The sequence below is a fragment of the Homo sapiens genome, chromosome 5 (genome assembly GCF_000001405.40).
Source record: "Homo sapiens chromosome 5, GRCh38.p14 Primary Assembly".
Lineage (NCBI taxonomy): Eukaryota > Metazoa > Chordata > Mammalia > Primates > Hominidae > Homo > Homo sapiens.
The window spans coordinates 177,352,259-177,373,009 of NC_000005.10; the positions used below are offsets into that span (position 1 = coordinate 177,352,259).

Genomic DNA, 20,751 nt, shown 5'->3' on the forward strand with positions numbered 1-20,751 from the left:
TGAGGGCCTCCACTACCCTCAACTCCTCAGGCCTAGTCGGGTTGAAGCAAGAGGAACAGACACAGATCCTGGCCTGGGACCCCAGTGATGACTGGAACTCATCCCTATGCAAAAGAGCGCAGTGCCTGGTACAGCAAGTAACGTCCATGGAAGGCCCAGGAAAGCTGTGAATCAGAGGTCGAAAACTGGTGGCCTGCAGCTGAATAGAGCTCTGTTTTACCTGCCAATATTCTAATAAATGGCTTAACTACCAGTATTTTAAAGTCAGAATATAGAGGCTGGGCGTGGTGGCTCACGCCTGTAATCCCAGCACTTTGGGAGGCTGAGGCCGGCGGATCACGAGATCGGGAGATCGAGACCATCCTGGCTAGCACGGTGAAACCCCGTCTCTACTAAAAAATACAAAAAATTAGCCGGGCGTGGTGGCAGGTGTCTGTAGTCCCAGCTACTCGGGAGGCTGAGCCAGGAGAATGGCTTGAACCCAGGAGGCAGAGCTTGCAGTGAGCCGAAATCGCGTCACTGCACTCCAGCCTGGGCGACAGAGCGAGACTCTGTCACACACACACACACACACACACACACACACACACACACACACAAAGTCGGAATATGTACATTCACATCAGAAATCCAGACTTCCGGCTGAGCTCAGTGGCTGAGGCCTGTAATCCTAGCACTTTGGGAGGCAGAGGCGAGCAGATTACCTGAGCTCAGGAGTTTCAGACCAGCCTGGGCAACACGGTGAAACCCCGTCTCTACTAAAATACAAAAGAAATTAACGGCGTGGTGGCGGACACCTGTAGTCCCAGCTACTCGGGAGGCTGAGGCAGGAGAATTGCTTGAACCCAGGAGGCAGAGGTTGCAGTGAGCAGAGATCACGCCATTGCATTCCAGCCGGGGCGACAGAGCAAGACTCTGTCTCTACAAAAAAAAAAAAAAAGAAGAAGAAGAAGAAGAAAAGAAATCCAGACTTCCGTTTTTTTACCCAAAAAAAAAAAAAAAGAAGCAGCAGCAAAAGATCTAGGCACACATTCCCACAACAGAACAATAGGCTGGAGCTGAATGGGACTGCCCCTCCACCAATGCCTTCCTCTTCTAAGCTGGTCCCCACCTGGTCACTCGTTTACAGCACTTGCCTGGCTCCTCCAGACATTTGAATCAATGACTCCTGTTGTAGATCACAGGGAGGGATGTTGGTTGCTTGCTCCTTTTAGAAACTGCCCTCTTGAATGAATGGACTTATTCAGGATTGAGTGCTGAATCTTTTCTTGGTCATATATTTTTCGTTCGCTTTTTTATTATTAAAGTCACACATTCTGGTCAGGCACGGTGGCTCACACCTGTAATCCCAGTAGTTTGGGAGGCCGAGGTGGGTGGATCACTTGAGGCTAGGAGTTCGAGACCAGCCTGGCCAACATAGCGAAACCCTGTCTCTACAAAAAATTAGCTGGGTGTGGTGGTGCACACTTGTAATCCCAGCTACTCAGGAGGCTGAGGCACGAGCATCACTTGCACCTGGGAGGTGGAGGTTGCAGTGAGCCAAGATCTTGCCACTGCACTCCAGCCTGAGTGACAGAGTGAGACTCTGTCTCAAAAAAGTCACACATTCTTGTGGTGTGTATGGAAACAGAGAGAGAACAGACATACAAGACACAACAAGCCAGGCATGGTGGCTCACACCTGTAATCCCAGCACTTTGGGAGGCCAAGGCAGGTGGATCACTTGAGGTCAGGAGTTCGAGACTACCCTGGCCAACATTGTGAAACCCTGTTTCTACTAAAAATACAAAAAATTAGCCGGCCATGGTGGCGGGTACCTATAATCCCAGCTACTCAGGAGGCTGAGGCAGGAGAATCACTCGAACCCAGGAAGCGGAGGTTGCAGTGAGCCAAAATTGTGCCATTGCACTCCAGCCTGGGCAACAAGAGTGAAACTCCATCTCAAAAAAAGAAAAGAAAAGAAAAGAAAAGACACAACAAAAGTCTTCTGCCACTCCCCTCGCAAGGAGTGTCCCCTTCCAGAGATTTATCTGCACCCATACAAACAAAAACATGCACATTCCATGGGACCTTCATGGGGCTGGGATTTTTGTCAGCTATGGTCACTACTGAATCCCTGGCATCTAGAATAGTGCTTGTCACATAGGAGGTGATTAATAAGTAACTGGTGAAAGAATGAATATTTGTTCTAGAACCTGGAATTGGGTCATGAAGAATGAGTAGGAGTTTTCCGGGAAAGGTAAAGGCATTCTCAGCAGAGAGAAGAGGAGCTGCAATCTAGGGAGGGATGTGTGAGAGCAGATGAAATACAAGTAGTTTGGAATGGCTGAGAAGTTGGAGTTGGGGGCTGCGGGGGAGCTGAAGCCAAAACTCAAAGGGCCTTCAATTCCCAAGTAAGGAACATGGCCTTTTCCCAGAACTCAATGGGATATTTCTAAGCATGGGAGTGACCAATGTGGATTCCTCTAGCTATGGTGAGGAGAAGAGATTGGAGCGGGGATAATAGGGAGACTGGATTCATCATGATCGGGGGAGAGAGGGTGAGGCCTAAGCCAAGGAGGTCTTCACAGAGAAGAAGGATCTGAAGTCCCAGCCAGAGACTAAATCAGGAACTGATGCCCTGTGGGCAGCCAGGAAGGGAGAAGTCGAGGATGGTGCTTTGTGGGTGGAGGTACTCCACCACTCTCATGGCATGGAGAAGACTAGATAAGGGCTAAGAGATGGGAACAGCCAGGGCTAGCTGTGGTGAAGATGTGGTCAGAGCTAGAACTGGCATCCATGGTGGAGAGAAGGGAAGAGGTGTCTCTGCAGGAGAGTATGAACTTCAAAGGGAGTCCCAGGCAGAGACTGTGACTGTCCTTTGGCAGGAAGAAGATGAGCTGTGGGCATCTGTGGTGGCCAAAGCCCAGTTCCAGGCACCCCAAGCACACTCACAGCTTAGCAGATCTCTAAGAGGATGTATAGCCTTGGGCAACTCACTTCTCTCTGAGCCTCAGTTTCCTGATCTGTGAAATGGTAATAATAAGCACCATTCACAAAGTGGTTGTGAGGACTAGGACTGTAAAGCCACCTAGGAAATGGCCCAGATCCATGGCACAGCAGACAGGAAGTCTTCACCCATATCACACACCCTACAACCCCCACAGGCACATTGAAACAGTCACACACCTTATTAAGACCACCATTGGCAATGGTCCAGGCCCAAAAGCAACCTCCACCGTAACCCCTTTCACACATCAAGTCTGACTGAATCTCTCTGTCTGTGTGGCCTGAAGCAAGGTGTCTGGAGAGAGGTGAGGCAGTGCTGGGAGAAGAAGTGTGTTAACTAGGGCAGTGCTAGCTGCTATAACAAATAGGCCCTAATGTATATAATGACCTGAAAATTTTTTTGATGTTTCTTTTTTTTTTAACTATTTTTACAAGGTTTGTGCATCTGTCAGGAGGCTCAAAAAATTTTACTTCCCACTTACATAATGGTCTGAAGCTGGTTTCCAGGTTGATGGGTGGCTTGCCTTCAGGCACTGATACACAGACCCTGCTTTTTCCTTCTTGTGGTTCCACAATCCCCTGGGCCTCCTCATCTTCTCTATCCATCCAGCTGAAGGAGAAAGAGGGAGGGTGCAGGGCACACACTTACTTCTTCAAAGCCTTGGCTCAAAAATGACACATGTCATCCCACACATTTTCAATTGGCAAGAAGTGGTCACATGTCCACATCTGACTGCAAGGGAACCTGGGAAAGTAAAGTTAGCCACGTGCCCAGGAAAAAAGGACATGAATTTGTGGTGAAGAGCTATTCAGTTTCTGCCACTGAAGAGTTCAGGTCACAGCCCTAGAAGGGGCAGTGGGGCAGAGGGTAGAATATGGAGAAGTGGCTATCACCTTGTCCCTGCAGAAAGACTAGCTGAGGCTGGACACGATGGCTCACACTTGTAATCCCAGCACTTTGGGAGGCTAAGGTGGGTGGATTGCTTGAGCCCAGGAGTTTGAGACCAGTCTGGGCAACATAGGAGACATCTCTACAAAAAAAAAAATTACACAGTCACGTTGACATGCACCTGTGGTCCCAGCTACTTGGAAGGCTGAGGTGGGAGGATTGCTTGAGCCCAGGAGGTCAGGGCTGCAGTGAGCCTAGATCCTGCCACTACACTCCAGCCTGGGTGAGTAACAGAGCAGGACTCTGTCTCAAAAAAAAAAAAAAAAAAGTAAAGAAAAGAAAAGAAAGAAAAAGAGAGAAAGAGGAGCTCAAATCAGAATGGTGGGCAAGTTGAGGGGTCTTAGTGAGCCCACGCTTAGAAGAAAATATAAGTCCTTGCAGTGGGGACACGCATGTGTGAGAAAGAGGCAAACCAAGGACCCTAGCTAAAATTTTTAAAACTGGAGTTCATCTGGGGCCAGGTCAGGGCCGAGGGCAGGATGCCCACCCTTCAGCCAACACTACATGCTATCAAATTAAGTTTATATCCCCCAAAATTCATACGTTGAAACACTAACCTGCAAGGTGTTATTTGGAGACAGGGCCTTTGAGAGGTAATTGGGTCATGAAAGAGAACCCCTTAGGGTGGGATTAGGAATTAGTGCCCTTATAAAAAGAGACAGGAGGGAGCTGGCTTCCTTTATCTCCACTTGCTATCGTGAGGGCATGGCAAAAAGACAGCTGTCTGCAAACCAGGAAGAGGGCCCTCTCTAGATACCAGATGTGCCAGCGGCTTGCCCTTGGACATCTCAGCCTCCAGAAGTGTGAGAAATACTTATTTGTTGTTTAACCCACCTGGTCTATGGTATTTTTGCTATAGCAGCCTGAGTTGACTAAGGCAGGATTTCTGAGTGAGTATGAATGCGCTCAAGTCTTTGGCCACAGATATAGGTGATCCAGTCCCCTACCTAGGTAGGTGAGCGTGTGCATCATATCTGCTTACACATATGTCACTGGAGTGTCGGAATACATATGTCCTATGTTCAGGTGTGCCTGTCACATGCACCTCTTCAGGGGACTGTGCATGCACATGACTATACACCCAAGTCCCCCTTGTAAGGGAGAGCCCATGTGTTTATGACACGCATACCTGAATGTCTGTGTGTGCACAGCCATGCGGGCAAGTTATCCATCTGTCTGCACACCTGGCCACATGCATGGAAGGAGCCTGTAGGTGTCTGGGGCTAGAGGTACCCTGCATATGTGCAGCTGCCGGGGAGAGGGGTACTGAGCACATGTTTGTCTGGCACACAGTAGGTATGAGGTAAGTGTGTGCCGAGTAAAGTACACGTGTGGATACACAGGTCCCAGTGCACGTGTGTGCATGTCCACAGGAACGCCCCCAGGGTGGACAAAGGTGCCTAGGTATGTTTACTCGTGTGCTGTGAGCCCAGGCATGAACTTAGAGCTCCCTGGTCCTGGCCAGACCAGGCTGGGCTCCTTGCTGGGCACACGGAAGCCTCTGCCTTGTGTTGGTGCCCGTGCGGGATGCTGCCAGGAGTGTGTTGGTGGCGTGTGTGTGCGTGAACGTGTGTGTGTGTGCGCGTGTGTGTGTAGGAAGAGGCGTTCGCTCTCTTAGACCTTGCTTCTTTCTGTGGTTTGGTTTCTATAGAGACACTTCCTGTGGCAGAGAAAAGAGGTAGTGAGCGGTGTTTCAGGATGTGAGGGCCCGCAGGAGCCGAGTCAGGCTCTCTCCACTGCCTGCCCGCCACCGTGCAAGCTCTGGCCGGCGCTGCCCACAGTCCCCATGGTGGGCAGCCCCCGCGGCGGGGACCCCTGATCGGCAGCGGCATGCCAGGGAAGCCCAAGCACCTGGGCGTCCCCAACGGGCGCATGGTGAGTGTGGGCTCCGGGCCAGGGCCACGAGGAGGGGGTGGGCACACCCAGGGTGGAGCCCAGGAGGCACACCCGGCAGGGCCAGGCAAGAGCCCACGGGCTGCCAGCAGGCGAGAGAAGTTGGGTACAGACAGCAGCAGGTGGTAGGACCTGGTGCTCTCACCCCTAGACCCTTCCAGATGGCCCAGCCGGGAGCCTGGTACAACCCTGGCAGTGAGGCCAGAGCGGGCACAGGCTTCTGGTCCAGCCCCCACCACTCCCTCACCTGCTGCATCTGGGGCTGCATCCCAGGGTCTCAGGGACACTCGATGTGCTCCTTGCCCCCTGCCCATCCCCACAGTGGCTCAAGCCCCTACATCCCGCTCAGCCTGAGTCCTCCCCTCCTCACCCCCTGCTCCAGGTGCCCAAGGTCATGTTAGTGGCAGCTCTTGCTGGGTCGGTGTCCTCCAGCCGGAGCTACTCCAGAGGCTTCCTGCCAGAACTAGCATTGTTTGGGCAGCCCGGGATGGGGCAGCAGGGTCAGACTAGGTTGATGCAGCTTCTGCCTGTTCTATTCCTGAGCTTCCAGGAAGGGCTGAGCACTAAGATCCCCCTGGCTGCAGCTGCCCCACCCCTTAACCCTCTCCCTGGCTGCTTAGCCCCAGATCAGAGCTGCCCTCAGAGGATCTGGCTCTTCTCATTCATTCAGCAGATGGGGCAAGCTGTGCTGGGCCTCCCTTCTCTCCCTAGGGTTCCCCCCTCACTTGGAAGAGTCCCTCTTAACAACCTCAGGAAGGCCAGTGTCCTGGCCCACCACCAGGCCCCAGCCTAGTATCACGGGCCAAAGCCAGTGGCTCTATAGAGACCTGGGTTCCAGTCCTGGTTCTATTCTCTCTTACTGGAGGGAGGGTCCTCGCCAGCTCTCAGTTTCCTCATCCCTAAAATGAGGAGGTTGGAATGAATTTCAAGGCTTGTTGAGATGATAGAGTGAAATAATGCATATGAGGCCTTTGACCCATTGTGGGGGCTGCATAATTGTCAGCCCAGTGCCCCCTACATTTTCAGCCCCAATTCAAAGATCTCCTGCCTCACCAAGAAGCTGAGGCAGCCCCATCACCACTCCTGCCCCTTAGTTCCCAAAACCTGCCTCTACCTCTTCTTCTTCCAGCATCTCTTTCCTGCCCAGCCCCGGGCTGGCCGGCTGGGAGAGAGGCCACCCTTCAAAGCCAGCTCAGCCCCCCATCTCACTGTCTGCAGTACCGACCCCACAACGAAAGTGCAAAAAGAAAACCCACCTCCCTTGCATTCCCATGTCACAGGCATGACACTTCGCTCGTCCTTGCCTAGGCGACCGGGCCAGGAAGCCAAGGAGGCTAACCCCAGGCCCACCCTGGGAGGGCAACTGGATTGATGCTTCTGGGACAGTGCCTAGAACTACAGGGCAGCAGAGGGGGCCCAGAGACAGACCCAGCCCCTGCCCCTTCTGTGTCAGCCTGTGACTTCTCTACTCAAAAGTCACCTAGAGCAGGGAGGGTGCCCCAAGGTCTGCCCCCAGTTCCATCAAGCCCACAGACGCCCCGGCTCCTCTCAGAACTGTCACACACAGGTTTATCTTTGCCCTTCCTGGGCCTGTTCCAAACTCTCTGTGCCACCTCTTAGAATCCCGAGGGTCACAGATTGGCTGCCTGCTGGTCACTGAGTAGCTTCCCGTGGCCCTGCACAGCTAGGGCAGGGAGGGCCAGACAGGCACTGGGATCTGAGGTGCGGATGTGGATGGAGGGGCGCCTGGGGGACAGGTATGTCTGGTCCCTCCATGAGTTACCTCCCAAGGGAGGCTCAGAGAAGTAAATGCTGTGCCGAGGTCAGCCAGAGAGTAGAGCGTCAGCATCTGAACCCCCAGAACTGCCTGGCCCCAGTCCTCCCCTACCTCTCCTCTCACCACCATCATTCCCTGCTGTGGAAGCTTCAGTTGTCAGCCTTGCCTCTCTGCCATTCAGCTTGTCAGGCAGTTGCAAGGAAACCTGTCACTTGGAGACATCTCCCAGCCCCCTTCCTAGGGATGTCTTCACACAGCCTCTTTACCTTTTCATTTGTTCATGTACTTATTCACTCATTCATTCAACAACCCCTCCTTAGTGCCTGCTTGGTGCTGCCACTGCCCCTATCCTAGACACTCCCGACCCAGGCCCATCAGCCCTAGTCCCTGCCCCCTAGTCTGGCAAGGCACAAAAGACACAGGTGAAAATACCAGGCAGTGGCTCAAGCCTGGAATCCCAGCACTTTGGAAGGCCAATGCAGGAGGATCGCTTGAGCCCAGGAGTTTGAGACCAGCCTGGGCAACATAGTGAGGACCCATCTTCTTTTTAATTAGCTGGGCATGGTGGTATGCACCTGTAGTCCCAGCTACTGGGAAACTGAGGTGGGAGGATCGTTTGACCCCAGGAGGTAAAGGCTGCAGTGAGCTGTGATCACACTCAGACTGCACTGCAGTCTGGGTGAAAGAGCAAGATCCTATATTAAAAAAAAAAAAAAAAAAAAAAAAGATGGAAGGAAGGGAGGGAGGGAGGGAAGGAGGGAGAGAGGAGGCAGGCACAGTTGCTCACGCCTCTAATCCCAGCACTTTAGGAGGCCGAGGCGGGCAGATCATGAGGCCAAGAGATCGAGACCATCCTGGCCAATATGGTGAAACCCCTTCTCTACTAAAGATACAAAAAATTAGCTGGGCGTGGTGGTATGTGCCTGTAGTCCCAGCTACTTGGGAGGCTAAGGCAGGAGAATTGCTTGAACCTGGGAGGCAGAGGTTGCAGTGAGCCGAGTTCGTGCTACTGCACTCCAGCCTGGCGACAGAGCAAGACTCTCCACTAGCTCCATGCACCGTGTTGTAGGAGACGGTCCCTAAAGGGTCTGCAAGCTGGAGGAGGGAGGGCACGGCATAGGCCTGGCTGTGGGCAAACACAGGGACAGGGCCCTAGGGGAGGCTGAGAGTTAAGCCTGGAGGGGCAGTTAGCCTGTCCTGTCCTGTCAGAGGGCCTAGTTAGTCTTCCCCTCCTGGCAGGAAGACCTGCAAGGCAAAGCCCATGCAGCTCTCTCTTTGTCCCTCGCGTCCAGCTCAGGGCACTCGAGTTCAGGGTGGCCTTATACAGGGGCAAGGCCAGGGGTCATCTCCACAGGCTGGTTCAAGTTGAAGGGACCAGACACCCAGATTCTGTGTGGACATCTCCAGACAGGGTCTTGCAGCCCCTCAAGCTAGGATGAAATCCTCAAGAGGATGGTAGAGGGTGCCCAGCATAGAAGATGCTCAGAAAATTGGCCCTCCTTCAAGGTCTGATCCCTCTAGAGGGCACAGTTCAAGAGGAGCCCCTGAGCAGGTCATGCCAGATTAGACTTGCCCACCTGTGCCCCAAGGGCTGAGGCCCTGGGCCTCCAAGCTTCCTTGGTCCACAAAGGGAGTCAGCTTGGGTAGAGGGTGGGGAGGCCTCAGGCTCCAGAATCAGGCAAACTTGAGTTCTAATCTCAGTTCTGCCACATCTCAGCTGCATGGCTTCTTTGGGCCTCAGTTTCCTCATCTGTAAAATGGGGGTAATAATACCTGCCACACAAGATACCCGTAAAGATGGAGGGAGGACATGAATGTGTGCTGCCAGAGGGTGCCTGCCACACAGTCAAAGCTCAGGAAATTGGGGCCTTACTCTCACCTTAGCATTTTCAGGTGCCAGCAGCTCCCCCAGGACCAAATTCCTAAGAAAAAAATATGACCGGCCGAGGTCCAAGCCTGGGTCCGTGTGTCACTGGCCACCACACCCTTCCTTGCCCTTTCTTCCCCTTTTTCTCCATTCACTCACCACTTCTTCTCAAGCAGGCTGAAGCAGGGGAGGCCAGCCCTGCTCAACACAACTTCCCCAGGCCCTGCAGTGGCAGCCAGGGCAGGCCAGAGCCCCTGCAGGGCCCCTGCACACCTGCACCTCACTCCGCTGTGGGGTGCTGCTCTGATTGTGGCATGCCTGGTGCTTTCACTCATGGGGCCTCATTCAAGCTTCACAGCAGCCTCAGGAAATTGGGAGTGCTGAGCCCCATGCTACCCAGGGAAAACTGAAGCTCAGAGAAGTTACTTGTTCCCGAATAGCAGAGCTGGAATTGGATTCCACCCCCACTCCCACCCATCTCCAGATTTCTGTCCCTACTCAATTTCAGCTCCAGCTATGCTATCAACAACTGTCAGGGCAAGAGAGGCTCAGGATGGAGAGCTACAGGTGGCATTCAGGGGCTGAGAGTCCCTAGTGAAGGGGTGCCAAGGCCAGGGTCCTGATGGCTGCTTGGGAGCACGAGGCAAAGACGGTGCTTCTTGAGGAGGGAGTTCAGATCTGACCCCTCCCACCAACCAGGCCAGCACTCCAGGGGTGACCAGACTGGCAGGGAGAGAGGCCGGGACATGGGTGGATAAGCACGTGGTGGGAAGGGGCATTCAAGGGGCCTGGTGTTTGGGGACGACTAATGTCAACGGGCAGAGATCGGGGAGCAATTCCAAGCGAAGAGCAGGAGCAGATACCCAGGCACTGGCAATGGCAAAGCCGGAAGCAGGGGTGTGGGGAAAATAGAAAAGTTCGGTGAAGTGTAGGGTGGAGGTGAGGGGGAGGAAAATGGGTGAGGCTGAAGGGGGTTCATTAGTCAGGCCCAGGTAGGGTTTTAGCCGTAACCTGGCAACCGCAACGTGCCTCCGGGGGCAGGGAAAGGGCCCGGGTTGGCACCGTGGGGAGGGGTGGGGCCTGGGGAGGATCTAGCAGGCAGCCCCACTTAACGACATTCAGTTAAGCAGAACGTGGAAAATAAACCTGTGAGGGCCAAACAAAATTGAAGTGCTGGCTGGCGCCAGCTCCAGCGCCTATCACCCCTGACTCGGGGTTAGAGGGCAGGACAGAGGCTCAGGGTGTGCGCGAGGAGGGCAGGGCCAAGCAGCCCAGCGGAGGGGGGCGAGTCCGGGTGATTCTCGGGGATCTGGGGGAGGGCGATGACTGCGTCTCCGAGGCTGGGAACACCGTGGCGGTGCAGCCGGGGGAGGAGGAGCCCGGGCGCGGGCAGGTAGGTGCAGGCTGCAGAGGAACCTTGCGGCCGCGCAGGGAAAGGCTTCGTCCCGTCCCTCCTCGCAGCCCTCTGCCGCCCTCGGAGTGGGGACTTTCTCCTGTCGCCGTGGGAAGCACCGACTTTCGTTGGGGGATTTGACTCTGCGGGGAGGACAGAGCGGGGAGCACGAGAGCAGGGCCAGGAGGGGCGGGGCCGGAGACGGGGGCGGGGCGCGCTGGGCCCGACGCCCCGCCCAGCGCGCTCTGCACTAACTCGCTGCCCTCCACTGCAACTTCTTATTCCCGGGCTCCAGATGGGAAGCGAAGCTCAGGGAGGAGCCCGAAGTTGTAAAACTGGAAAAAGTCAGGGCTGGGGTTTGAATCTGGATCTGAGAGACGCCCCCCGCCCCCAACACCTGTGCTCTTTCCTTCTATGGCGGGAGTGGCAAACTCGAATGTGTAGCGGGGTCAGGCATCAACACTGACACAAGAACGACATTAATAGTAACGTTCCTTGAACATTTACTACACGCCCGATAGTGTTCTGAGTTCTTTATATATATTTCACTCATTTAATCGCACCAATCCTTCGAAGTCAGGACCATTATTTGCTCCATTTTTAGAGAGGAAAAAACTGAGGCACAGAGAGGTTAAGTACCTCGTCCAAAGTCACACAGCACAAATTTGACCTCCCAAATTTGAGCCTGCCTCCCACTGCCTCCACAAGTAACATAAATGCATTAAACTGGCCCCAGAGGCCTCTGAGAGGAGTGTAAGCCCTTTTGGGGAAGGTGGTGGCTGCTCAATCCCGGACAAGGTTGTCCTGCTGGGAAGGAGCTGGAGCATTACAGTCTCACGGAGCAAGTGGAATTTAAAATCTCTTGCTTTTTAAATGTGGAAAATACCTTTAAATAAAAATAATAATCATCATAATAAAACCTGAGAGGGCCAAGGTAATAGTAATTTCCCACATATCTGCAGACCGGATCTGGCCCACAGATGGCCGCCCTGTGACCTGAATACTCTCAGGGTGGGAGTAGGAAACAGAGAGGAAGGTTCCATTCAGGAGGGTGGGGGTTGGGGGGCTTTCCGGGGTGGAGATGTTTGCAGGCCTGTTTCCAGTTGGGATGGGAATAAGGGGCTGGTGGTAGGAACTTCTGTGACAGGGCATGGTGAAAGTGTAGGAGGTAAGCGGGAAGTAGGAACTGGGGATGACTCAAGCCCTGATGTTGGAAGCCCGGGTGATGGGAAGAAAGATGGGGGCAGGGAAGCTGGTTTGGTACTGTGTTTTGGTGGAGGCAGAGGGAGCTTCCATTTGGGACTTCCATTTGGGAGCTTGAGGGCTTGTGGGACATTTGAGGGGGGACTCGCCCCCCTCCGCTGGGCTGCCTGGCCCTGCCCTCCTCGCGCACACCCTGAGCCTCTGTCCTGCCCTCTAACCCCAAGTCAGGGGTGATAGGCGCTGGAGCCGTTACCAGGAAGTTGGTTATGTGTGTCTGGAGCTGTGGATCTGTGGATGGGACAAAGTGCCCAGGACAGAGCCAGAGAGGGGTTGAGGCCACATTGCATGAGTGGGAGATAGTGGGGAAGCTGGAGGAGCTGCTAGGAAGGTAAAAAGAGAAACAAGAGAAACCACCGCAAGAGTCATTTTGAGAGGAGAGTTTTTCTGTTTCACTAATGATTGGGATTCCCAGAGAAACCAGAGTTGTGCACTGGGGGCAAGGATGGAGTTAGTTACTGCAGCAGTACTACTCACAGAGTAGTCCCTGAACCAGCAGCATCAGCATCGCCTGGGAGCTTGGTAGAAATGGACAGCCTCAGGCCCCATCTTGGACCTACTGAACCTGAATCTCCAGAGGTGGGGTCCTCCCACTCTGCACTGAAGTTTGAGAACCACTGCTCTGTACTATAGACCAGCATCTTGTGCCCTCCCACGGTGGTAATGGGACCCTGGGCCCAATAGGCAACACGTGCGATAGTAAGATCACTGGCTGCAGAGACACCTCTCCTTCCTCAAAGACAGCACATGTTTATACAGCCCATATCACATGCTGGCCCATGTTCTAGATGCTGTGGATATATTTTTATTTGATTTTCTTTTATTGAGACGGAGCTTTGCTCTTGTCACCCGGGCTGGAGGGCAATGCCACAATCTCAGCTCACTGCAACCTCTGCCTCCTGGGTTCAAGCGATTCTCCTGCCTCAGCCTCCCGAGTAGCTGGGATTACAGGCATCCACAACCACATCCAGCTAATTTTTTTTTTTTTTTGTATTTTTAGTAGAGACTGGGTTTCACCATGTTGGCCAGGCTGGTCTCGAACTCCTGACCTCAGGTGATCCACCCATCTCGGCCTCCCAAAGTGCTGGGATTACAGGCGTGAGCCACCGTGTCCAGCCAATGCTGTGAATATATTAAACTGACTTGATCTTTACATCAAGATGGAAGCAAATGGTTTGCCTCCATTTGTAAATAGGCATTATCTCCTATTTACAGATTACAGATGGAGGCAAACAAGTTAACTAACTTGCCCAAAGTTACACAGCTAGTAAGTGGCAGAGACTAAAGTCTGTTCCTACCCACCATGCTATGCACACCTGGCTCACCCAGCAGGGGCTGGGGGAGGAGGGAACCAGGGGCTGCTGGAAGGTACCTGCCATAAGTCCCAGTACTTAGTGGTTGGCACAGGATGGAAGGGGAGCCAGGGGCAGACTGAGGAAAACCCTGACCAAGTAGAACCTGGCCGGGGATGCCCAGGTGGAGGAGAACGCAGTTCCAGCTCCTGGGAGTCGGGCCCAGAACTGTCCCCTGGGAATCCTCACTGGGCTCTTCTGACTTTCTCTGTTGGGTCTCTTATAGGTTCTGGCTGTGTCAGATGGAGGTAAGTGACAGAATGTGTGGAGAACTGGCTGAGTGGGAGGGAGGAGGGAGGTGGAGATGGGTGGGGACACCCCTGCCACCTGCTATCTTTCCAGGGAACATGGCTGCAGAGTGGATGCATGGGGGAGGGTGGGTTGTGCCAGGGGCTGGGGAAGGCAGCAAGGCTCACCCCAACTTGTCCATCCCCCTGCAGAGCTGAGCAGCACGACGGGGCCCCAGGGCCAGGGCGAGGGCCGCGGCAGCTCTCTCAGCATCCACAGCCTCCCCAGTGGTCCCAGCAGCCCCTTCCCAACCGAGGAGCAGCCTGTGGCCAGCTGGGCCCTGTCCTTCGAGCGGCTGTTGCAGGACCCGCTGGGCCTGGCTTACTTCACTGTAAGCCTGGGGTAGGGAAAGGGAAGGGGGGACACGGGAGAGGGCAGGGCGTGGATGGAGCTTCAGGCTGGCCAGAGTGGGGTCCTCTGTCAGCTTCCTCATCTAGCCTTCCTGCAGCACCCTCTTCCTCTTCTCCCAGCTGGGAACTTTTCTTCCTTCTCCCTGTCCTTGTCTCTGCCTCTCATTTTCTCTCCCTGTCTTCAGATCGGTCTGGCTCCGTCTGTCTGTCTGGCCCTGTCTGTCTGGCTTGGTCTCTTGGCCCTGTCTCTGTCCCAATCTTTTTGATCACATCCCCCAGTTTGGTCTCTGTGTCTCTGAGTCTCTGCCTGCCTCCCCCTCCTTCCCCTCCCAGGAGTTCCTGAAGAAGGAGTTCAGCGCGGAAAACGTGACTTTCTGGAAGGCCTGCGAGCGCTTCCAGCAGATCCCGGCCAGCGATACCCAGCAGGTGGGGGAAGGGGGAGCTGGGGCCGAGGGCTGGGGAGAGGGGAACTGGGCCACGCTCCCTGACCAACTCCTCCTGTCCCTCCTCCTTCAGCTAGCTCAGGAGGCCCGCAACATCTACCAGGAGTTCCTGTCCAGCCAGGCGCTGAGCCCAGTGAACATCGACCGTCAGGCCTGGCTTGGCGAGGAGGTGCTGGCCGAGCCCCGGCCGGACATGTTTCGGGCACAGCAGCTTCAGGTGGGCGATCCTGGGGGGATTGGCCTTGAAAGGGAGACAAAAGGAGCAGGGGCGGGGTCGGACCCTGGCGGGGAGTCTGAACTACAAAGCGGAGGGGGCAAATTTGGAGGCGGAGACAGAGCCAAATGCCGGGGCAGGCAGGGCGGAGCTCAGAGGGCGGTATCAGAGGCACGGGGAAGGACAGTTAGAGGCGGAGCCTAGCTGAGCTCGGGGCGGGCTTGGACCCCGGGGGTGGGTATAGGAACTGAGGTCGGGGCGGGGCTTGGGAAATCCAGCCCTAGGTTTGGGGCGGGGCCAGCCCCAAGGACCCGGCCTGGGTGCAGGCAGCCCAGCGCCCCCACCCCAGCCCCGGCTCACCTGTTCCGGGGTCGCCCCGCAGATCTTCAACTTGATGAAGTTCGACAGCTATGCGCGCTTCGTCAAGTCCCCGCTGTACCGCGAGTGCCTGCTAGCCGAAGCCGAGGGACGCCCTCTGCGGGAACCTGGCTCCTCGCGCCTCGGCAGCCCTGACGCCACGAGGAAGGTGCGTGGGACTGGGCGAGGGACTGGGCGAGGCAGGGGGTCCTGCGGACCGCGTGCAAGAGGGGACGCCTCCGGGTGCAGATCTGCGAGTCTGTGCCCACGGTCTGCATGCGGGCTGGGGCCCAGCCCGGTGCCAGCGCCTCCCCTGTACCCACAGAAGCCGAAGCTGAAGCCCGGGAAGTCGCTGCCGCTGGGTGTGGAGGAGTTGGGGCAGCTGCCACCCGTTGAGGGTCCTGGGGGCCGCCCTCTCCGCAAGTCCTTCCGCCGGGGTGAGGGCAGGAGCGAGCAACAGAGATGTGGGGAAGGCGGGAGTTTGGTTAAATTTGGGGAGTGCCCCCTTCCTCCTACGTGGCCCACAGTCTGTAAGTCTGTGAAAATTGAAACCCAGGTCCCAGTGACCACCACACTCCCCTGGGTGGTTCGGGTCTTGGGCTAGACCTCAGACGTTTGGAAATCTCCAACGGTGGTGTCGCTCCCAGGGATTTACACCTGGGCCCCTGCAGGATGGCTCCAAACAAGGCCCACCAGTGGGGAACAGGCTTCCGCAGAGGATGGGTGAGGGCGGGGGGCTGTTCGCGTTCATCGCTCCCTCTTCACTAGAGCTGGGCGGGACTGCAAACGCCGCCTTGCGCCGAGAGTCTCAGGGCTCCCTCAACTCCTCCGCCAGCCTGGACCTTGGCTTCCTAGCCTTCGTCAGCAGCAAATCTGAGGTGAGCCGACTGTTGGGGAAGACAAGATGCTCTATGGGCTAGAGTCACTACTCAGGCCCATTTACGTGGTGGCCCTCATTCCAAGTTGCTGTCCTTACTGCGTCTCCCAGCTTGCTCTGCGTAGCCAACCCTTCAGCCTCCTTACTTGTCTCACTACATTGGTCCCCATATATGTCATGGGTACACATCCTCAGTTGGCAAATGTGTGCACATGTGCAGCACCCAGGTGTGTATACACAGCACGTGTGTGGGAATCAGCGGGTGGACCCGTCTCTAGGTGCCCATATGCCTGGGTGTGCATACATGTGTTCCTGCAGGAGGACGTATCTTTGCCTGCCTTGGGAGTGCGTGTGCATGCTTGAGCCCCAGCAAGCTTACCTATCTCTGTGTACCTGTGTGCATGCCCTTGCATGTGTACACATAATCTCCCCCACTCCTGCCATGAATCAGAGCCACCGGAAGAGCCTTGGGAGCACGGAGGGTGAAAGTGAAAGCCGGCCAGGGAAGTACTGCTGTGTGTACCTGCCCGATGGCACAGCCTCCTTGGCCCTGGCCAGACCTGGCCTCACCATCCGAGACATGCTGGCAGGGATCTGTGAGAAACGAGGCCTCTCTCTACCTGACATCAAGGTCTACCTGGTGGGCAATGAACAGGTGGGAACGTGACCTGGCTCCAACTCTAACCTCCTTCCTGATCCTGACCCCAACTCCATTTCTGTCTCTGCTCAGTCATGGCTCCAACCCCAATTCAAGTTCTAAACCCAACTCCAAAGCACCCTCAGCACCAACTTTCACTCACTCAGACATCCACCCACCCCCCACCTCATGTCCTTCCAGGTTTCCACCTTCATCCATCATCCTATTGTGGTGACCTTAGGGAGGTAAAACTGGAGAGAACCACTGTTGGAGCTGGGGTTTGCCCCTCATCATTCCCAGAGTCCAGACTCCCATCCCCACAGACCCATCCTGGAAATGGCCATCCGTGGGGTGCCCTCACCTCCTTAGCCTCTAGGGGCACCCAAGTGCACCTAACCAATGAACTTTTTCCTTTAGGTGCAAACTAGCTTAAACTTTAAAGAAGACCTAGGGGAAAACTGGCTTTAAAGGAAACCATTCAGTCAGGGGAATCTCAAGGAAGAATGCTACCTTCCAGGGGGCCATCGGGATTTCATTTACCTAGTAGACAAGTCCTAAGGCCTTGCCAGGTGTGTGGGGGAGAGGAACCTAGATCTGGGGCTGTCCTCCTGGCCCACAGGCTGAAAGTAAGCCAAGCAGGGAGTGATCAGGGAGGAGGAAGAGTGAAAACTCCAGAGAAGGTCTCTTGGGAGAGGGTAGGCATTTCTGGCTGGTGTCCGGAAGGCTTCATGGAAGAAGCAGCAGTAGATGTGGATGGGCAGAGCTGTGGGGGAGGATATTCCAGGCAGAGGGAACAGCTTAGGCAAAGGCCTGCAGGTGGGTACTTGCGGGGCATGTTCAGGGGCCTGGAGTGCAGGGGTGCGAGGGCAGTAGTGGGAGGCATTTTGCCCACTCTTCTCAGGCCGCTAGGGCGGCTGCCAGCAGCCCAGATGGGCTTTCATACATGCTAAATATAACTTCCTCACCCACACTCCACCTGCTCCTGCAGCACAGCATAAGCCTACTGCCTGGGAGATGCTGCCCCCAACCCCCACATCAGGCTGGAGCAGGCAGTGGGGCCTCTGAAGGTGGTCATCACGAGAGTTACTGTTTATGTACCTACTGTGTGCCAGGCATTGTGCCAGATGCTTCACATCCTCTGGTTTCACAGCAGTTTTGAGGGTGGGCCCTTTTTGAATGAGGAAACAAGAAGTGTCCTTAGTAGCGGGGAATGGAGAGAAGTGGACAAATGTCAAAAATGGGACCAGGCCAGGGTGGTTGGTCAAAGGTGGGTGGTGAGGGAGGAAATGCTTCCAGCTGGTCTGGTCGGATTTCACACACCTGAGGGACACGAGACAGCTGTCCTGGAGGCAGAGCCTGTCCTGGCACAGAAAGAGTAGGCCAGAGATCCCGGATCTAGGCCTGCCCCTTATCATTTCATGCCAGCAGCTACGTTTCTCGTAATTTCTGTCCTTTCCCAAGAATGTCCAGCATTCTTGCCACTTTTCTCCCTGGCCTTGGCTTTCCTGGGCTTGGACTCCAGCTTGGTACCTTAACCCATTTGCTCCCCTACAGCTCTTCCACCCTCCATCCCTTCCTCTAGGAAGCCCAGTGGTGGCCATGGGAGGGCGTGAAGTTGTTCTCAGACCCACAGGGATGGCTGGGGGTTGGGGGAGGGACTCTTAGACCCTGCCTGGCATCCACAGAAGGCCCTGGTCCTGGATCAGGACTGCACCGTGCTGGCGGATCAGGAAGTGCGGCTGGAAAACAGGATCACCTTCGAGTGAGTGTCCTGCCCCCAAGTCTGGGTCCCAGGTCCTGACGCTCCCTTCAGGCCCTGTTCTAGCTACCTGGCTCCCCAGGCCCCGCCCCTCGTGCTAGCCCCGCCCCTGGGACAAACCCCGCCCCCTACAAGCCAGTCCCACCTTCTGCAGTTCAAGCTCCACCCCCTCGCGTTTGTCCTGGGAAGGGTTTGGCGGGGGGCCGGCCCTCCGGCCCTCTGCTGCCCGAGGGTTCCTCGCAGGCTGGAGCTGACGGCGCTGGAGCGCGTGGTACGAATCTCAGCCAAGCCCACCAAGCGGCTGCAGGAGGCGCTGCAGCCCATTCTGGAGAAGCACGGCTTGAGCCCGCTAGAGGTGGTGCTGCACCGGGTGAGCTTCCGGGCCGCGGGGCGGGGCGGGGCGGGGCCGGGCCGGGGCCGGGGCCGGGGCCGGGGCCGGGGCCGGGGCCGGGGCCGGGGCCGGGCGGAGGCCTGTACCGCGGGCTGCTGACCTCTCCCCACAGCCAGGCGAGAAACAGCCTCTGGATCTGGGGAAGCTAGTGAGCTCGGTGGCGGCCCAGAGACTGGTTTTGGACACTCTTCCAGGTAGGGGACGCTGGCCTCGGGGCTTGATCTGGAACAGCTGTGGCCCAGGAGGAAGGGGGTCCAGGTGGGAGGCAAACACTAACTGTGGCCCTCTCTGCTGCAGGTGTGAAGATCTCCAAAGCCCGTGACAAATCTCCCTGCCGCAGCCAGGTGAGCGAAAGGCGAGTGGCCTCTTCCACCCTCTGCTTCTCCCCTCCCGATTTTGGCTCTGACCCCAAATTCTCGCAGGGCTGCCCACCTAGAACTCAGGATAAGGCCACCCATCCCCCTCCAGCGTCCCCCAGTTCTCTGGTGAAGGTGCCCAGTAGTGCCACTGGAAAGCGGCAGACCTGTGACATCGAAGGTACATGGTGGATGAGCTGGGGATCAGAAAGACTAGGGCAGTGGGGTTGGGGACCATTCAGGGTGGCATCAGAGAGCCTTGAGCTAAGGCAGGGGGCTGGGTGCCACTGGGCGTGGAACAGGAAGGATGGGGGTTGGGGGGTCAAAGGGGCTGGAACAGGGGGCCGCAGGCCATTGGTGCTGGGGCCAGGGAGGCAGTGGCCACAGTAAGGCAGTGGGACTATCGTGGGCTGGCATATAGGCAGGTCTGCTGGGGGGACCCTCATGCTGTGGCTTGCCTCCAGGCCTGGTGGAGCTGCTGAACCGGGTGCAGAGCAGCGGGGCCCACGACCAGAGGGGCCTTCTGAGGAAAGAGGACCTGGTACTTCCAGAATTTCTGCAGCTGCCCGCCCAAGGGCCCAGCTCCGAGGAGACCCCACCACAGACCAAATCAGCAGCCCAGCCCATCGGGGGATCCTTGAACTCCACCACCGACTCAGCCCTCTGACAGCTACCCAACAGTCCAGGACAGCTGCATGGCACCCGGCGGGCCGAGCATGCCATGGGTCCGCTCTGCATGCCCTGTCTGTGCCATGAGTGTCCCTGGCCCCTTCCTGCCATGGGCAGGCCCGCAGGAAGAGCCGGTAGGGGTGGAAAGGGGACTCAGATGAGACACACCCCACAGCTGCCACCGCCTTGTCCCTCAACAAGCTCACCCCCAATCCCTTGCAGCCAGGCCACAATGGGGGAGGTGAGTCCAGCCCCTTGGAACAGGCTTGCCCAACATGGAGGGATGGCGTTGGCAGTGCCAGCCTCCCCAGCCTGTGCCAAGCTTCAACAGGGGCAAGAGGAGGGGCCGGCCCCTCCTCAGGAAGCTGGTATGAGTAAGGCCTTGAGGGTGCAGGCAGGCAGCCCTGTACCCCACCCACATAGACTATACTGTACATACAGATTTTGCAGTAGGCTTGGGGCAGCTGGGTTTGTCCTTGATGTATGATACTGTTATTATAATAATTATTATTATTCTGCCATGAGTTGTCTTCCTTGTGTGCCAGACTGTCCTGTGGCTTCCCCCACCCTCAAAACACACTACTTCTGTCACCAAGGTCAGTGCCAGGAAACTCTTGGGGACCTCAGGATGTGCCTCCTGACTTCCTGTTTTCAGAACCTCTCTTCCTGACTGCACAGTATATGGGGTGGTGTGTGAATATCTTATAGTATTTTTTTTTTTAAGAATATGGGAGCTGGGTGAGGTGGCTCACACCTGTAATCCCAGCACTTTGGGAGACCAAGGGGGGTGGGGGTGGATCGCTTGAGCTCAGGAGTTTGAGACCAGTCTGGGCAACATGTCAAAACTCTGTCTCTACCAAAAATACAAAAAATTACCTGGGTGTGGTGGTGCATGCCTGTGGTCCCAGCTACTTGGGAGACAGGTGGAAGAG

General features: G+C 55.9%; 1 protein-coding gene across 5 annotated transcripts, besides 12 other annotated features; it reads left to right on the forward strand.

The window, feature by feature from the left end:
* Window positions 5,540-5,589: an enhancer, noted in NCBI's record as "active region_23708". NCBI's record gives its function as "activates an Ori minimal core promoter by ATAC-STARR-seq in GM12878 lymphoblastoid cells {active_cell/tissue: GM12878}" and the evidence as "EXISTENCE:reporter gene assay evidence [ECO:0000049][PMID:35858748]".
* Window positions 5,666-20,338, forward strand: RGS14 (regulator of G protein signaling 14). Of its 5 annotated transcripts, none has more exons than NM_001366617.1 (15): window positions 5,666-5,811; window positions 13,705-13,726; window positions 13,919-14,097; window positions 14,450-14,542; window positions 14,633-14,776; window positions 15,156-15,299; window positions 15,456-15,567; window positions 15,899-16,008; window positions 16,459-16,662; window positions 18,330-18,406; window positions 18,647-18,773; window positions 18,907-18,988; window positions 19,092-19,138; window positions 19,217-19,331; window positions 19,615-20,338. In NM_001366617.1, the coding sequence occupies exons 1-15, from the start codon at window positions 5,767-5,769 to the stop codon at window positions 19,815-19,817; spliced, it is 1,704 nt and encodes a 567-aa protein (NP_001353546.1). In that variant the 5' UTR covers window positions 5,666-5,766; the 3' UTR covers window positions 19,818-20,338. The 5 variants fall into 5 exon arrangements, with proteins under 5 accessions (NP_001353546.1, NP_006471.2, XP_047272594.1 ...); NM_006480.5 differs by having other exon boundaries at window positions 18,333-18,406; XM_047416639.1 differs by lacking the exon at window positions 5,666-5,811 and adding an exon at window positions 10,795-10,866.
* Window positions 5,690-5,919: a silencer, noted in NCBI's record as "silent region_16682". NCBI's record gives its function as "represses an Ori minimal core promoter by ATAC-STARR-seq in GM12878 lymphoblastoid cells {active_cell/tissue: GM12878}" and the evidence as "EXISTENCE:reporter gene assay evidence [ECO:0000049][PMID:35858748]".
* Window positions 5,690-6,218: a biological region, named in NCBI's record as "H3K4me1 hESC enhancer GRCh37_chr5:176784977-176785477".
* Window positions 5,718-6,218: an enhancer, noted in NCBI's record as "H3K4me1 hESC enhancer chr5:176784977-176785477 (GRCh37/hg19 assembly coordinates)". NCBI's record gives its function as "activates a minimal SCP1, AML or CMV promoter by ChIP-STARR-seq in primed H9 embryonic stem cells {active_cell/tissue: H9 hESC(primed)}" and the evidence as "EXISTENCE:reporter gene assay evidence [ECO:0000049][PMID:30033119]".
* Window positions 9,642-9,791: an enhancer, noted in NCBI's record as "active region_23709". NCBI's record gives its function as "activates an Ori minimal core promoter by ATAC-STARR-seq in GM12878 lymphoblastoid cells {active_cell/tissue: GM12878}" and the evidence as "EXISTENCE:reporter gene assay evidence [ECO:0000049][PMID:35858748]".
* Window positions 12,243-12,372: an enhancer, noted in NCBI's record as "active region_23710". NCBI's record gives its function as "activates an Ori minimal core promoter by ATAC-STARR-seq in GM12878 lymphoblastoid cells {active_cell/tissue: GM12878}" and the evidence as "EXISTENCE:reporter gene assay evidence [ECO:0000049][PMID:35858748]".
* Window positions 12,483-12,542: an enhancer, noted in NCBI's record as "active region_23711". NCBI's record gives its function as "activates an Ori minimal core promoter by ATAC-STARR-seq in GM12878 lymphoblastoid cells {active_cell/tissue: GM12878}" and the evidence as "EXISTENCE:reporter gene assay evidence [ECO:0000049][PMID:35858748]".
* Window positions 12,673-12,722: an enhancer, noted in NCBI's record as "active region_23712". NCBI's record gives its function as "activates an Ori minimal core promoter by ATAC-STARR-seq in GM12878 lymphoblastoid cells {active_cell/tissue: GM12878}" and the evidence as "EXISTENCE:reporter gene assay evidence [ECO:0000049][PMID:35858748]".
* Window positions 14,696-15,335: an enhancer, noted in NCBI's record as "H3K27ac-H3K4me1 hESC enhancer chr5:176793955-176794594 (GRCh37/hg19 assembly coordinates)". NCBI's record gives its function as "activates a minimal SCP1, AML or CMV promoter by ChIP-STARR-seq in primed H9 embryonic stem cells {active_cell/tissue: H9 hESC(primed)}" and the evidence as "EXISTENCE:reporter gene assay evidence [ECO:0000049][PMID:30033119]".
* Window positions 15,336-15,974: an enhancer, noted in NCBI's record as "H3K27ac-H3K4me1 hESC enhancer chr5:176794595-176795233 (GRCh37/hg19 assembly coordinates)". NCBI's record gives its function as "activates a minimal SCP1, AML or CMV promoter by ChIP-STARR-seq in naive H9 embryonic stem cells {active_cell/tissue: H9 hESC(naive)}" and the evidence as "EXISTENCE:reporter gene assay evidence [ECO:0000049][PMID:30033119]".
* Window positions 17,074-17,925: an enhancer, noted in NCBI's record as "H3K4me1 hESC enhancer chr5:176796333-176797184 (GRCh37/hg19 assembly coordinates)". NCBI's record gives its function as "activates a minimal SCP1, AML or CMV promoter by ChIP-STARR-seq in naive H9 embryonic stem cells {active_cell/tissue: H9 hESC(naive)}" and the evidence as "EXISTENCE:reporter gene assay evidence [ECO:0000049][PMID:30033119]".
* Window positions 17,474-17,543: an enhancer, noted in NCBI's record as "active region_23713". NCBI's record gives its function as "activates an Ori minimal core promoter by ATAC-STARR-seq in GM12878 lymphoblastoid cells {active_cell/tissue: GM12878}" and the evidence as "EXISTENCE:reporter gene assay evidence [ECO:0000049][PMID:35858748]".
* Window positions 20,339-20,751: the final 413 nt, after the last annotated feature.